This window comes from Homo sapiens, chromosome 17, assembly GCF_000001405.40.
Source record: "Homo sapiens chromosome 17, GRCh38.p14 Primary Assembly".
In the NCBI taxonomy this organism is placed as follows: domain Eukaryota; kingdom Metazoa; phylum Chordata; class Mammalia; order Primates; family Hominidae; genus Homo; species Homo sapiens.
Genome location: NC_000017.11, coordinates 15,497,406 through 15,513,350, shown reverse-complemented (window position 1 = coordinate 15,513,350; position 15,945 = coordinate 15,497,406). Strand labels below are relative to the sequence as shown.

At 47.5% G+C, this 15,945-nt stretch overlaps 2 protein-coding genes and 1 pseudogene across 3 annotated transcripts in view; 2 read left to right on the top strand and 1 right to left on the bottom strand.

The window, feature by feature from the left end:
- Window positions 1-11,087, top strand: part of TVP23C (trans-golgi network vesicle protein 23 homolog C) — a 61,220-nt gene extending 50,133 nt beyond the window's left edge. Inside the window, exon 6 of the mRNA NM_145301.3 lies at window positions 10,119-11,087. Coding sequence (NP_660344.2) covers window positions 10,119-10,487 — 369 coding nt within the window. The 3' untranslated portion in view covers window positions 10,488-11,087. The remainder of the gene's footprint in view (window positions 1-10,118) is intronic.
- The window catches only part of TVP23C-CDRT4 (TVP23C-CDRT4 readthrough), a 127,469-nt gene that overhangs the window by 50,133 nt on the left and 61,391 nt on the right, over window positions 1-15,945 (top strand). The window lies entirely within an intron of this gene.
- On the bottom strand, window positions 5,813-6,556 carry PPIAP53 (peptidylprolyl isomerase A pseudogene 53; annotated as a pseudogene).

Genomic DNA, 15,945 nt, shown 5'->3' with positions numbered 1-15,945 from the left:
AGTTTAAAATTCAGTCCACTTTCAGGATATTTTTAGTCTCTTGAGAATGTTCCAGATTGCTGACTCAGTAAGCCCAGGCTCTTAAAAATGCATGTTTTTAAACTCCACAATGTGACATTGTCTAAGCTCCTTGCCATTTGAGTCTGACCGTATATTCTGAAGTCTGCCTTGGCTTCCTAAGGACTGTTCCTGGCCTTCTGGAGCCCCCAATACTCCCCCACTCAAATCTGATGATGGGGCAAGTTCCTCGCATAGTACAAAGAGAAGGGGCCCAGGAGTGGCATGCAAAAGAACAGAAAGTTACTGTGTTTATGGCCGTTAGAACCAAAAGTGCTTCTGAGAGAATGAAATCTAGCATCCTAGCTTTCTAGAAGAAGAAATTAAAGCCCAGGGAGGAGAGGGGATTTGCCTAAGGTCCTACATAGCCCATATGTGAAATGTCCTCAGCCTTCCCAAGCAGGGGGACTCCATGGGGATGGATGGGTCATCTCCCTTTTGATTTGACATAGTCCTTAATCAGCCATCTTTCTTTGGTCCAATTAGGTTTGGTCATGGTAGTAGGATTGACTTGCTTGAAATACAATGGCTGCTTTAGGAGTTGGTAACTTAATATTTCCTGATCTGAACTATATATCTGTAATAAAGATGTATCAATGATCTTCTATCGGCTATTTAAAATTTACATATATATATATGATGTTCGTGAAGCCAGCAATATGCAAAGCAGAGAGCATGGCTTCTAGTAGTTTGGGGATTGTGGCAACAGAGATTGCTTTCCACTTGGGGACTGGATTTCACCAGATGGGACAACAGACTCTCCTTTCTTATGAACCTTCGAACATTGCAGGGATTGTTTGAGTGTTGTCATAGTTACTGGTATTGGTGAATTCCCCCTGTAGACTTGTCCCCTTTGTGTCTTCTTATGGAAGGTCCTTTTGGGATCCCAGGGTGATATGGAGAGAGTTAGAGCCTGGTCTTGCCAGAAGGACTTTAGATCTCATGATTTCTTGCTCACGAGATAAAGCCTGGATTAAAGAAGAAAACTCTGGTAAAGATTTTACAAATGAAACCTGTCATCCTGGCTTACAGTGTCTTTCCCAGTCTCTTCCTAACCCCATCCACTTCAACATCAGAGCAACCCACATCCCAAGAAAGACAGAAGAGGAGGCCTCTGTGGTTTGTCTTTCTTGGTCCTTCCAATAACCATGTAAATCAGTGGTTCTCAAGTGTGGTCCCAGGACAAGCAGCCTTCACCATTCCCTGGGAGTTATTAAAAGTACAAATCATGCTGCCCCACTCAGATCTACTGAATCAGCAACTGTGGAGATGAGACCCAGCAGCCTGTGTTTCAACAAGTTGTCCAGGTGATTTTTGAGAAGAGCTGTTCTAAATACCCACTAATTAAACCATAATTTCCAATTCCTTGAATCTTCCTGGCACTTCTATAATTAATTTCTCTGCAAGTAAACATTAGAACTATCAGATTACTTAATTTTACATATTAGATATCAAAAATAGTATGAAACTATCATGAGATCATATCACATTAGATATTGAAAGTATCCAGTATTTTTCCAGAGTCACGAAACACAATTGAAAGGAAAAAATATATAACAGTGGTATTCTTGAGCCATTGAGTGGGGACAAGGGAAGCCCATTCCATAAACTTGGGGACATTCTGATTGAAGGAAGGATAAGGACTGGAACAATTCTTGGATTAGAACAAAAAAAACTGGGAAAATGGAACCAATTAAGAAATCATCTCTTTCAGTTTCTTAACCATGCAGAAACCTAAAATTGTAGGGCTCCCAGAAACTCTACTAGTACTTTAAATTTCTTAATGATTCAAATTCTTTAGGACCTAAAACCAGTTGTTTGGATTCCTAGAAACGGCAGTAACTTTTAGGATGCTGCTGTATTAATGAATTACAATTAAGGCTTCCAGTGGGGCAAAATTGATGCCTTTAAGATCAGGGACTCTGTCTTTATTATGGTGACACATGGGAGTGAAATAGAGCCCTTGTTCTTGATGGCACTGAGCACTTTCACTTCTGTAATGTCATTGTTTGCTCATAATAACCTCTCACATTTGTCTGGCTCTGTGGTTTTTAAAGCTCTTTGAATTTGGTCTTGTATTTTATTTTCATAAAACCTCTCTACTGTAGACCGGGTACCTGTGATTAACATTTATGATCCTGTTTCCCTAGCTATGAAATGCAGGAAGGGGCTTGTCTAAGGTCCCATGACCTGTGGGTGGCTGCCTCTTCCATTATCTTTTTTTTTTTTTTTTTTTTTTTGAGACGAAGTCTGGCCCTGTCACCCAGGCTGGAGTGCAATGGTGCAATCTCAGCTTACTGCAACCTCTGCCTCCCGGGTTCAAACGATTCTCCTGCCTCAGCCTCCTGAGTAGCTGGTATTACAGGCACCTGCCACCACGCCTAACTAATTTTTGTATTTTTAGTAGAGATGGAGTTTCACCATATTGGCCAGGCTGGTCTCGAACTCTTGACCTCATGATCTGCCCTCGGCCTCCCAACGTGCTGGGATTACAGGCATGAGCCACTGCACCTGGCCCCATTATCTTTTTAAAAATAAAAAGGGCCAGTGATAACTGCTTTTCTGTTTGTTTAAGAAAATATATGAATATGTATAAAAGCACTGACATGTTGCTAGAACTTGGTAAATGGTAGTTATTATTATCCTATTGTCTCATTTAATATGGGTAATCATAGAGGAATTAGTGGCTTTTTGGTGACATACAGGCCATTGCAGAGTTGGAACTATGACTAAGGTAACTGGGCTCTTAGCCAGCTGTTTTCACCAGCCGTTTATAAGCATTCCCTTTTCTCCCCAGACTGGCCAACGTCTGGTATTTTTTGACTTAATAGTAGCCATTCTGACTGGTGTGAGATGGTATCTCATAGGTTTTGACTTGCATCTCTCTGATAATTAGTGATGGTGAACATTTTCTCATGTTTATTGGCCGCTTGTACGTCTTGTGTTGATAAGTGTCTGTTCGTGTCCTTTGCCCACTTTTTATGTGGTTGTTTGCTTATTTCTTGTTGATTTGTTTGTTAGCTCAAGTCTTAGTCCCTCGGGTCTCACCATCATCTTCCTCCAGCCCAGCTCTCTTCTCTACTTCCTCCTCTGGAACTCCTCACTAGAACCCCGAAAAAAGCAAACAGAAACATTTCCTGAATGCTTGCTGCAAATCAAACACAATTCTAGACATGGGCGATGCAGAGACACAGGCCAGCTGGCCACCACATGTCATTCATTCTAAGTAGCACTTTTGCTGTTTTTTTAAAAAAGTCAACGTCTCCGAAATCAGGGTATGTCTTACCACTCATAGCCCATTGGCAGGTTCTTTTCTTTTTTAGAGGTACTTGAAACAATGATTCATTTTACAACCATGGCATCTTAGGTTTGTTGAAATATAATAGTTTCTCCCTTCAAGGAACTTACAGTCTGCCTTCAGGGTGAGGCAAGAGCACAGTAAGAGCCAAGTGAGAGCATGCCATGTGAGCCAGGGAAGGAGCACTTCCTTCTAACCTGGAGCATCAGAGGGGTCTCCCTGATAGGGGAGGATCTGAACTAGAGCTTGAAGGATGAGTGGATTTTTCTGTATTTTTCCCTTGCTCTGTCGCTCAGGCTGGAGTGCAGTGGCACAATCATGGCTCACTGCAACCTCCATCTCTTAGGCTCAAGCGATTCTCTCACCTTGGCCTCCCAAATTGCTGGAACTACAGGTGTGAACCACTGTGCCCAGCCAGATGAATGGAATGTTAATAGGCAGAGGAAGGATGGAAGGGCATTTTACTGTCAGGGATCTGTATAAGCAAAGACCAAGAAACTCGCAAAGGTGCAGCTGGTAGGAACCACCACTTGGAAAGAAGGTGCGGTCAGCGCTGATATTCAGCACTCCTGGCTGTCAACTTTCTAAAGTATTTCCTGACTAGTTGTAGCCAGCAGCTGCTCCAGGCCTCCCAAGTGCATCCTGTCCCCTGGGCTGTCCCCCTACCACCTCCCCTTGGTCCAGCAACTAAGGGGTTTATGTGGGCTGAACCCAGAGCCTCCAGGTCCTTCTGACTGGTTGGTTGGTGCCAGGCGCCTCCCTCTGTTAGAGGTTGTGTTTATTACTCTGGTTGGAGGACAACCCTGGGAGCTGATATAGCAAGAAAACCTCCCTGAAACCAGATCAGAGAATGACAGACAGGCGCTGTGGGCCAGGACTTTGGCCGCCAAATCTTTAAAATTGTGCCCTTCCACATTTGCTCATGCATCCTCAGTAACTGCATATTTATTTACTAATGTAAACAGCTATTACTGTGCCTTCATGTAAATCTAAAACATACCCCAAAATAGAAGTTAAAAAATGAGATAAATAAAAACTGAAGTCAGAACATTTTCTGTCCCCAGTGCAGTGACTCATCGGGGTCTTTCCCCCTGGCAAGTGCCCCTAGTTTACCAGGGTGCTGTCTAGACACTGGAGAGGCTGGGGCTGCAGTGAAGTTGCTCTTCACGTTAGAGGCATGAGGAACACAGGGAAGGAAATAGCGATAAGAGACAAGACCAAGAAGTAGATCCAGAAATACCCAGAAGTATTTTTAAACATTACAACCATACCTTGGCCCATGCTCGTTTGTAAGCTATTAGTGGGTCATTTTCCTGGTCCCAGAGCAGTACTGCACAATGTAAATGCGTGACTCAGTAAGGTGGTGGAGCTTTGGGTATGGTGAGAAGCACCAGCGAAGCCACAGGGAGGGGAGCAAAGGCATGTGAGTCCTAAGGGAAGAGCGACTGGAAGTTGGGACTCCCCAGTCCTCCGAGGAACAGGAGGGGTGCTCTTGGCCAGGTGGGAGCAGGGTGTGTGAGCATCTGCAGGACCTGAGCGGGATGCTGCCTACCTTGGCCCATTTTGGCCGGGCAGTTACATGGGGTCTGAGTAGAAAGCCTCATCCTATGATTTCTCTCTATTCCTTCCAGAGGGCTTTGGGGACAGGACAAAGACCACAGAAGCCCAGCTCTGTTTTTCCTTCCTTTCTCATCTCCAATGAGGGGCAGGTGGGGTGGCTGTTAGAGGGAGGTGGGCAAGAGAATCAGAGTACACCAGGGTCAGGTGGAGGTCATGGAGCCAGTCCTCACCAACTGAGAGATGCCTTCAACCCAGCAGAGGAGTACCTCCTAGGGATGCAGTCAGTCCATGGGACGCATATGCAGCTTGGCCTCTGGGTTGATCTGACTGAATGGTCAGACCACAAGTATTTACAAAGGTCCTGAGCCTGCCTATGTCAAGAGATGATTCTCCTTGCCTGGCTAGTAACTAACACTTAATAAACATTACAATATGGCAGTCACTATGCTAACACTTTCACCTACTCATTCATTTACTCCTTACATGAACTCGAAAGGAGTGGTACTATTTTTATCCCCACTTTACAGATACGATGGAGGCATAAGAGGCTATAGACTTTCTTTTTTTTGTTATTTAGTTTTTTCTTTTCTTTTTTTTGAGATGGAGTCTCGCTCTGTCACCCAGGCTGAAGTGCAGTGGCGCCATCTCGGCTCACTGCAAGCTCCGCCTCCTGGGTTCACGCCATTCTCCTGCATCAGCCTCCCGAGTAGCTGGGACTACAGGCACCCGCCACCAGACCCGGCTAATTTTTTTGTATTTTTAGTAGAGATGGGGTTTCACCGTGTTAGCCAGGATGGTCTCGATCTCCTGACCTCGTGATCCGCCTGCGTCGGCCTCCCAAAGTGCTGGGATTACAGGCGTGAGCCACCGCGCCCGGCCTATTTAGATTTTATTTCATATTCATAAACTTAACTCTACAATCCAGCTAGGCATGGAAGGGAACAAGGAAAACATGGAACCCAAAGGGAACTGCAGCAAGAACACAAAGATGACAGGATAGTGTGAGCAAATGGGGTGGAGGGTGCTCTCTCTGAGCTACAGAAGGAATGGTCCAGTGGTTAAGATAAAGCGTAAGTGAAACTTATTAGAGTTGTCCAGTCAGCAATGGTGATCTTCTTGCTGGTCTTGCCATTCCTGGACCGAAAGCGCTCCATGGGCTTCACAATATTCATGCCTTCTCTCACCTTGCCAGAGACCACCTGCTTCCCATTCAACCACGCTGTCTTGGCAGTGCAGATGAAAAATTAGGAACCGTTTGTATCGGGTCCTGCATTTGCCATGGACAAGATGTCAGGACCTGTATGCTTTAGGGTGAAGTCCTCGACATCAAATTTCTCCCCGTAGAGGCACCAGTGCCATTATGGCATGTGAAGTCACCGCCCTGACACATAAACTCTGGAATAATTCTGTGAAAGCAGGAACCCTTATAACCAAATCCTTTCTCTCCAGTGCTTAGAGCATGAAAGTTTTCTGCCGTCTTTGGAATCTTGTTTGCAAACAGCTCAAAGGAGATGCGGCCCAAGGGCTCCCCGTTGATGGCGATGTTGAAGAACATGGTGGGGTTGACCACGGCTGATAGTGTGTTCTAGTGGGTTCTTGGTCTCACTGACTTCAAGAATGAAGCCGCGGACCCTCGCGGTGAGTGTTACAGCTCTTAAGGTGGCGCGTCTGGAGTTTGTTCCTTCTGATGTTCGGATGTGTTCGGAGTTTCTTCCTTCTGGTGGGTTCGTGGTCTCGCTGACTCAGGAGTGAAGCTGCAGACCTTTGCGGTGAGTGTTACAGCTCATAAAAGCAGCGTGGACCCAAAGAGTGAGCAGTAGCAAGATTTACTGCAAAGAGCAAAAGAACAAAGCTTCCGCAGTGTGGAAGGGGACCTGAGCAGGTTGCCACTGCTGGCGCCCACAGCCTGCTTTTATTCTCTTATTTGGCCCCACCCACATCCTGCTGATTGGTAGAGCCCAGTGGCCTGTTTTGTCAGGGCGCTGACTGGTGCGTTTACAATCCCTGAGCTAGACATAAAGGTTCTCCAAGGCCCCACCAGAGCAGCTAGATACAGAGTGTCGACTGGTGCACTCACAAACCCTGAGCTAGACACAGGGTGCTGATTGGTGTATTTATAATCCCTGAGCTAGACATAAAGGTTCTCCAAGGCCCCACCAGAGCAGCTAGATACAGAGTGTCGATTGGTGCACTCACAAACCTTGAGCTAAACACAGGGTGCTGATTGGTGTATTTACAATCCCTGAGCTAGACATAAAGACTCTCCACGTCCCCATCAGACTCAGGAGCCCAGCTGGCTTCACCTAGTGGATCCCGCACCGGGGCTGCAGGTGGAGCTGCCTGCCAGTCCTGCGCCGTGCGCTCGCACTCCTCAGCCCTTGGGTGGTCGATGGAACTGGGCGCTGTGGAGCAGGGGGTGGCGCTCGTCGGGGAGGCTTGGGCCGCACAGGAGCCCATGGAGCGGGTGGGAGGCTCAGGCATGGCGGGCTGCAGGTCCCGAGCCCTGCCCTGCAGGAAGGCAGCTAAGGCTCGGTGAGAAATCGAGCACAGCGCCGGTGGGCTGGCACTGCTGGGGGACCCAGTACACCGTACGCAGCCGCTGGCCCGGGTGCTCATTGCCCGGGGCAGCAGGGCTGGCCGGCTGCTCCGAGTGCGGGGCCCGCCAAGCCCACGCCCACCCGGAACTCCAGCTGGCCCGCAAGCGCCCTAGGCAGCCCCGGTTCCCGCTCGCCCCTCTCCCTCCACACCTCCCTGCAAGCTGAGGGAGTGGGCTCCAGCCTTGGCCAGCCCAGAAAGGGGCTCCCACAGTGCAGTGGTGGGCTGAAGGGCTCCTCAAGTGCCGCCAAAGTGGGAGCCCTGGCAGAGGAGGTTCCGAGAGCAAGCGGGGCTCTGAGGACTGCCAGCACGCTGTCACCTCTCAATAGTATGGGGCTCCCGGTGGCGGTGGTATCTGCAAAAGCCAAGACTTTCTTGAGTTATACAGGAAGGAAACAACAGTGCTGGGATTTGAACCCAGGAATGTCTCGATCTAGAATCTGTGCTCTAAACCAGTAGGCGTCACTGCCTGAGACTGGTGGGAGAATTGACATGTGCTCCACAGCCTTGTAGGTCCACCAACAAACTCCCAGCCCACCCACAGGCTCATCAACATCACCTTGGATCAAAGATTTCCATGAATATTGGAAAGACATATAGTCTGGATATTTTCTAAACACTGACATGCAGGGGTTTTTTTTGTTGTTGTTGTTTTGTTTTGCCTCCTTTGTTTTGCTGGATAGGTTTGCTTTAAATATTAAAGGAATAAAATGTCTAGGACTATAGCCCCATGGCTGCCTTCATTACCACTACCTCTTCAGTGTTGAGAACACACATGCGTTGAATGTGTAATCAGTATATAACTGTGGGTCTGTGTGGCCTGGGCTGTGCATGATGCTGACTCAAATAAACAGCGGTTTTATTGGACCCTCTCCTTCTTCCAGAAGAAGATCAATGGAAAGTACCTTCCAAGTTTTGGTCCCTCAAGAAGCCCCTGAAGGTCAGAGGGAGGGGAGGAAAATACCTTCTTGATGCACCAGAAATCACCTTATAAACCTCATCCTCCGTGGAGCACAGTGGCTCACACCTGTAATCTCAGCACTTTGGGAGGCTGAGGAGAGAGGATCATTTGAGGCTAGGGGTTTGAGACCAAGCTGGGCCAAATAGTGAGACCTTGTCTCTACAAAAAAATTTTAAAAATGTGCTGGGCATGGTGGTGCGTGCCTGTAGTCCCAGCTTGAGCCCAGGAAGTTGTGGCTTCAGTGAGCTGTGATCACCCCACTGCACTCTAGCCTGGGCCAAAGCACGAGACCCTGTCTCTTAAAAAAAAATTGTCTTTATTAAAATGATTCTCAGTATCCTTCATGCTACTGCAGCTGATTTCCAAAGCTGCCTCATCTTCCGCGCTCTCAACTCTTAATAAACCCATCCAAAGCGCAGCTCTTCTCTTCCAGCAACTCCTTATTTTTATGTTCATATCCAAGTAAATCTTAGCCTTGTCCAGAAGCAAAAGCCCCATGACCACGACTTCAATTCTGCCTCTCTTTTCTGGCCACTGCCTCTGTGTCACCAAACCCCAGGGACAAATTGGCAAAGACAAAGGTGGCTCTGAGAGGAAAAGGGAGGGAGAAAGGGTGTGAAACCCCACACATCATAGTCTTGTTCCTGTTGAAAATGCAGGAATATAAAGCCCAGTACCAGAGCTTCCCATTATTCAGGCCTAGGCTCCTGGTTCCTGGGCTGTCTAGTGGGTGAGGGCCCAGGGCCTGGAGGTGTTTCAGGATCCTCAGGCCTGATTTGGTGGACAGGACCATGTTCAGGGGAAAATGTGGGGATAGGGCTGCATGCTTGCTCTCAGGAGACTGGGCTCTTTTTTCTGAGTGTCCCTGAGAAACCATCCTTAGGTATTGGTACTACTCACAGGGTTGTGCCTAGCTTCCTGGCTTTGGAACTTCATTCACTTCCTCCCACCCTTCCCAGCCCTTCCATTCCCCCTCCCAAAAGGCTGACACCCACTCCTCCTAGAACCCTACCATAACTCACCATCCTACAAGAGCTTCCTTCTGTTTGGGATAGAACTTCGGTGGCCTGCATGCTAGCCATGAAGCCTTACGATGGCCTTTTCCTAACCATAACAACCACTTATTTCCACTTCATTTACTTTACATTTCCCTCTCCTCATAAGATTTCAGCAAACCATATACTTATAAGTCAACTTGCACAGAATCTCCTGCTAGCTTATTTTGGTGAACACAAAACTGAATGCAAAAATCCCCATCCTTCAAAGAATTTGACATTCTAATGTCACCAATTTTTCGACATGCTAATGCCAGCAATTTTTTTTGAAAGTTGAAATAGAACATAATAAGGCAACAAAACGAGACTAAGAGGGTTCTGCACCGTGTTCCAACAATCTTCAGTCCCCTTCACTGTTCATGTCTAAGCACTGAGGCGTTCTAAAGCAGGTCACCTTTTGCCTCAAGGACTTTTCTTGAAATATCATGGTCTTGCTCTGTCGCCCAGGCTGGAGTGCAGTGGCGTGGTCACAGCTCATTGCAGCTTCGACTTCCTGGGCTGAAGCGATCCTCCCATCTCGGCCTGTCAAGTAGCTGGAACCACAGGCGCGCCACTACACCTGGCTAATTTATTTTTATTTTATTTTTTGTAGAGACGGTCTCGCCACATTGCCCAGACTGGTCTGAAAGTCTTGGGCTCAAGAGATCCTCCCGCTTCCGCCTTCCAAAGCGCTGGGATAACAGGCGTGAGCCGCTGCCCGGGCCATCCCTCGAGGAAGTTTCATCAGGTAGACATTAATTCTTTCACGAGGATCACGGATCGAGCTCTTTACTGGAAACCTGCGCCCCGCCTTAGTTCTCCACCTCTTCGTGCGGCTCCAGGCAACTGCCAACAGATGGCGCCCGCCCGCCTATTTCTCTCCTTGCGGCTTTGGGCCTGGAGGGGAGGTGGGGAGAGTCCCAATAGCAGAGGAACTGGTGAGCCCGGGCCAAAATTTCATCTGGCATCCGGAATGCATTAAAAACAACCCACAAATCTGAAGCTCCTCGCAGGAGAGAGAGAGAGAGAGAGAGAGGAGAGAGAGGAGAGAGGAGAGAGGGAGGGAAGAGAGTGACGGAGAAGGAGAGAAAGAGACGGGAGAGAGGAGAGAGAAAGAGAGAGAGAGGAGAGAGAGAAAGAACGAACGAACAGGGAACTTGTAAAACTAAGGGGAAAAGGGCAGAAGAGAGGCAGCAGCGTGGTCCCTGCAAGCGTCCGCTTTCCTGGCCAAGCAGCCCCCAGCACGCCTGCTTTGTGGGGCAGGGCCATGCGGCCCCGAGGAAGGATGCGGTGAGCCAGAGGGTTCCAGACAAAGGAGGGGATCCCCAAGGCTCTGGGCCAGCCAGTCCCTGTTTTACTGGCACCACGGTCCCTCCTAGGCGAGGACGAAGAGGGAAGGGGTGGAGACCTCCACCTTCTCTGCGTGTGGCTGCGTCCCTTTACAGAATGACAGGCCCTTACTTCCGAGGGCGGGGACTAATGTGTAAGGCTTAACAGATCCAATTCCAGAAATTATCTGTGTTTTTTTCAATCACCCTCTTGTGCCCCCCCACCCCCCATTAAATTTCATCTTTTATCTTTTTTTGGGCCTTCGTAATGAAAAGTGGTTTTAAAGGTTGACCAGTTTTACTACTTAGTGCCTAACAGGCTGAGTGATTATACCGTTGAAGGAGGTCACAGCGGGAAGGACATGGAGAGAGATGGGGGGTCTGAGGCCTGGGGAGTGAGGTCTGGTTCCCTCTCCTCCCCTTGGAGCCAGAGGGCACCTTCGTGACTAAGAAGGGAGAGGATCTGGCCTTGTGCAGCTCTGCCCACTGAGAGGTAACACCTGTTCTCCAGCTGGGTGGCAGCTCCCTGAATCAGGCCAGTTTGTACTTTTTCACCTAACTCACATGATTTCCACTTCAGTCGCACTACCGCTGGCTGCCCCATTGTGGACAGCTTCATTAACCTCCGTTGCTCCTAAAGGCAGTCTTTTGATGGAAATGAGTGGCGGAAAAGGCTGAGAGCAACCAGGCCAGGCTCAGCCCACTTACTTACTATAGTTAGCCTCTCTGTTATGCCTCACTTACCCCAAGGACTCTCTGAGGAGTGGCCATTAGTCCTACAGCTCCTGAGTGCATATTGTGGCCAGTCCCACAAATGTGAAGTTCTCTTCTTTCCTCCGTGAGTCGTTGGGTCAAATAGAACTCTTGTTAATAGCTCACCAAGTCAGTTAAAGATTGGGAAGGTGGGCATTGTGAATTTGGGATTAAATAATGTCCAGGTGGTTAGAATGGACTTAAAGAGAAATAGAGAGGAAAAGGATCTAGTGGTCATAGTGAATCCCAAGTTGAAATGAGTCAACAGGAAGGGACAGTGATGAACAGGAAGGGACAGTGGGAAAACCCTGACAGAAATGCTTTAGCTACATCCTGTACCTTCCCACTTTTATTAGAAGATGCTTGATTTTTGTTCTAAGAAGGGAAATATGTATTCTAGGTTCAACAAGTTATAAATTCCTTAAGGGCAGACATCTTTTGCATCTCTCACCAGGTTTAAAAATTAATAATTGTGGCCAGGCGCGGTGATTCCCACCTGTAATCCCAGCATTTTGGGGGGCCGAGGTGGGCAGATCATGAGGTCAGGATTCCAAGACCAGCCTGGCCAACATGGCGAAACCCCGTCTACTAAAAATACAAAAATTAGCCTGGTGTGGTGGCGCACGCGTGTAATCCCAGCTACTCAGGAGGCTGAGGCAGGAGAATTGCTTGAACCTGGGAGGCGGAGGTTGCAGTGAGCTGAGATCACGCCATTGCACTCCAGCTCTGGGCGACAGAGCAAGACTCTGTCTCAGGGAAAAAAAAAAAAAAGAGTTTACAAGACATTTTCACACATGATAAATTTTCAGCAAATTCTTAGTGAAAGAATGAATAAGTAAATTATAGAATTAAAGTGATCTCACAAGTTCAAAGAGGTCAAATAGGAAGTCTACCATAATAATAAGCATATATTGCATGGCCTGAATTGTCAACCTTCCATGGCTGAGATCACTCACTTCTCCTCTTTATTTGCTTTCCATGTAACCACCTCTCCTTGGCTTATGTAATTTTTCTCTCCCCCTGATGAGGCAGAGTGAAGTGTTAATAGCTGGGATTTGGAGTCAGGCAAGTCCTAGGTTCGAATCCCAGTTGCTTCAGTGATCTTGACCAAATTGCTTATGTTCTGTTCTTTGTGCAGCAGTTCTGTGTCTATACAATGGTGGAGGGAGTGGGCTCTCCTGGGACAGCTATAAGGGTTAAGTAGGATGTGGAGGTGATAGAGCCTTGCAAAGTGTTCCAGGGTGGGCTGGTCATATTTCATAATATGCGGCACAGCTTAACACTTTCTGCCCATTACTTCCAATACAAATTGGTTAAAACAGGTGGTAACATGGTGGGTTGATATGTGGGACAGTTTTTAAAAAATCAGAATGGGCTGGGTGTGGTGGCTCACACCTGTAATCCCAGCACTTTGGGAGGCCTAGAGGCAGATCACGAGGTCAGGAGTTCAAGACCAGCCTCCTAACCAATATGGTGAAACCCTGTCTCTACTAAAAATACAAAAATTAGCTGACTGTGGTGGCGTACACCTGTAGTCCCAGCTACTTGGGAGGCTGAAGCAGGAGAATCGCTTGAACCCAGGAGGTTGAAGTTGCAGTGAGCCAAGATCGTGCCACTGCACTCCAGCCTGGGCGACAGAGCGAGATTCCACTTCAAAAAAAAAAAAAAAAAAAAAATCAGAATAGAAGCAGAGAAGGCATGCAGCTCCTTCTTTCCTGGAGCTGGGGCAATAGCCCAGGCTGGATCCCTGAACAAAATGTGGGCTCCGATCCTCAGAGGTTTTTCTCAGAAGGAGAGTTAATAGCCACCAGAGCAGGGAAGGTCTGTGATAGGGTTCGGGTGGCCTCTGTGATGTTCACAAGCATCCTGGCATGTGGCAGAGACCGGCTTTTCATTTGTTAAAGGAGACTCCTGGGGCACCTGCATCTCTGAGGGCAAATTACAACCCCACATATCCTAGAGGAAGATTTGTCATCCAGCCACCTGGAAAAAACACTCAGCAGTGTTGAAGACACACAAAACTACCCAGAATTTCTTTGGGGGCTTGAGTCATCACATTTCTGAGCTACTTTTACGGTGGGGAAACTGAGGCACTGGGTGATTTGCTGGAGGTCAAAGTTATGGCAGGAGCAACACAAGAATGCATGATCTGACAGAGTCTGTTTTCTTGCCCATGGGCAGACTCTGATCACGTTAAAAGGGGAGCCAGAACCGAGGTTGTTCACCCACTGGCTTAGAATATGATGCGGTGACAGTGGGGACGGTACCCTGGAGACACCCACTGAGAGTTTTTCTACCTGGGTAAATTAGGTCCGTTTGGTGTGAAGAGGACAGGTGGACTCCTTAGAAGGCGGCCCAAGGGGCTAGGGCATCAGAAGGGCCAGAGTGAGCCTGGAGGACCCAGCACACCACAGGGGCTGTTGCAGTGCTGGTGACACTCGGAACCTGTTGCCAGGGCAGGCGAGTAGCTGAGCTTGTCCTGGGATGAAACAGGCATGAGCTCTGGGAGCAGTTGGGATGTGGGCAGGCCATGGCCACCTCTGTGGTGCTGACTTCTTCCCAGTTGTCATTGCAAGTTTAATCAAGGACAGGGACCGGCGTGCAAGGGGCTCCTCTGGGCATTGGGCACTACCTGGGCTCTCTGAGTCCTCCATGCTGCACTTGCTTCCTGAATGGCATGGCTGAGCTCCAATAGCCTGACTCTGCAAGCTCACTTTTCTTCACTCCCACTTACCTTGTGCCCACCCTTCTATCCCTGTCTGACTCTGCTTTCCCTGTACAGCCCCACTCGTGGCACCTACCCACCTCAGCCGCAGCCTGCTGCTCTTCTGTCCTGTCTTTACCTGGTGTGGAAAGCCTGCAGAGCTGGGAATTATCTCCCATTTTCCCTCTAGACTCAGCACAAGGTAGTGATGGACAGCACAGACTCTAGAGCCAGTGATGGACATCAAATTCCATATCTGACACTGTGTGATTTGGGGCAGGTTACTCAGTCTCCCTGGGCTTAAGTTCATTTCCTCATCTGGAAAATGGGGATACTAATAGCATCTACATCACTGAGTTTTTGCTGGATTAAATGAGTTAATGCGTGTAAACTGCTTAGTTGGTGCTGGACACAGGGTAAATTGTCAGTAATGCTAGCTATTATTAACATCTTCCCATCTAGCCCTAAATCTGGCTCTCCTCAGGAAGTCCTGCTCTGTGGGAGAGGAATAGGGGCTGACAGGGTCAGTCTATGCCTAATCTTCCAGGCTAATAGTTTCCAAATGGGAAACCTTGCAGAGTGCTCAAAAACTTTTCTGGGATATGGGGAGACTTGAATTTCTGTGTCAGAGTTTGCTGTGTATTGACTAAACCTCATTGCCTTTTCCTTCCAAGCATGAGCTAGACTACATTTCCCAGCCTCCCTTGCTGGGACCACATGACTGCCTTTGGACGAATGGAGTCAGGGCAGCCATGATGCCATAATGTTGCCCCTTCCAGGTCTAGGTCTTAAGTCCCCTTGCACCATGCAGGCCTCAAGTCTTCCTCTCTTTCTCCATTCTTTGGTTAAAAGAAGAGGATTCCAAGGCCTTAGAGGATGAAAGGGCCATGAGATGGAAAGATCCTGCATCCTCAAATGAATGCAAGGGGCCAACGCCCTCTCTACCAAACCCAACATGAGAAAGAAAGAAACTTTATTCTGTCAAGCCACTGAAATTTGGGAGATATATTTGTTATAGAGATTCACCTGTATCATGTCAACTTCTATTAAAATTTATTTTAAAAATATCATCTTTTAAAATTCCCTATCTTTTGCTATGTTTCTCTCTCTCTCTCTCTCTATATATATATATGTATACACACACACACATATATATATGTTTTTATATATAGTGGTTTCCAAATGTTTTGATCACGTCATTAAAAAGTTTAATGCCCAAACTTTTTAATGACTTGTGATCAAAACATTTGGAAACCACTGCTCCAGACTATTGGAACCAACTTAATTCCTCACTCAGGGGCCAGTGCCCACCTGACTGAAGTCTCTTGTCCACTTACCTCTTTCCAATTACACTGTTATGTTTTATTTCCTTGCTGTGTCCTGCTGTCATATTGGAGAAAGTCAGTACTGGACAAACAAACAGCATCACCAGTTTTTTTTTGTTTTTTTGTTTTTTGTTTTTTTTTTTTTTTAGAATGATAGCAATGGATAAAAGTGGTCTGCACTAGGAATTAGAAGACCAGAGTTTTATTTTCAATTCTAACTGACTTGGTAACAATGGGTGGGGCACACTGTCTTTGGGTGTCTGAGTCCTTATCTGCAGAATGAGGTCCCTAGACTGGATAATTTTGGAAACACTTCTCAGTTCTAAGGTT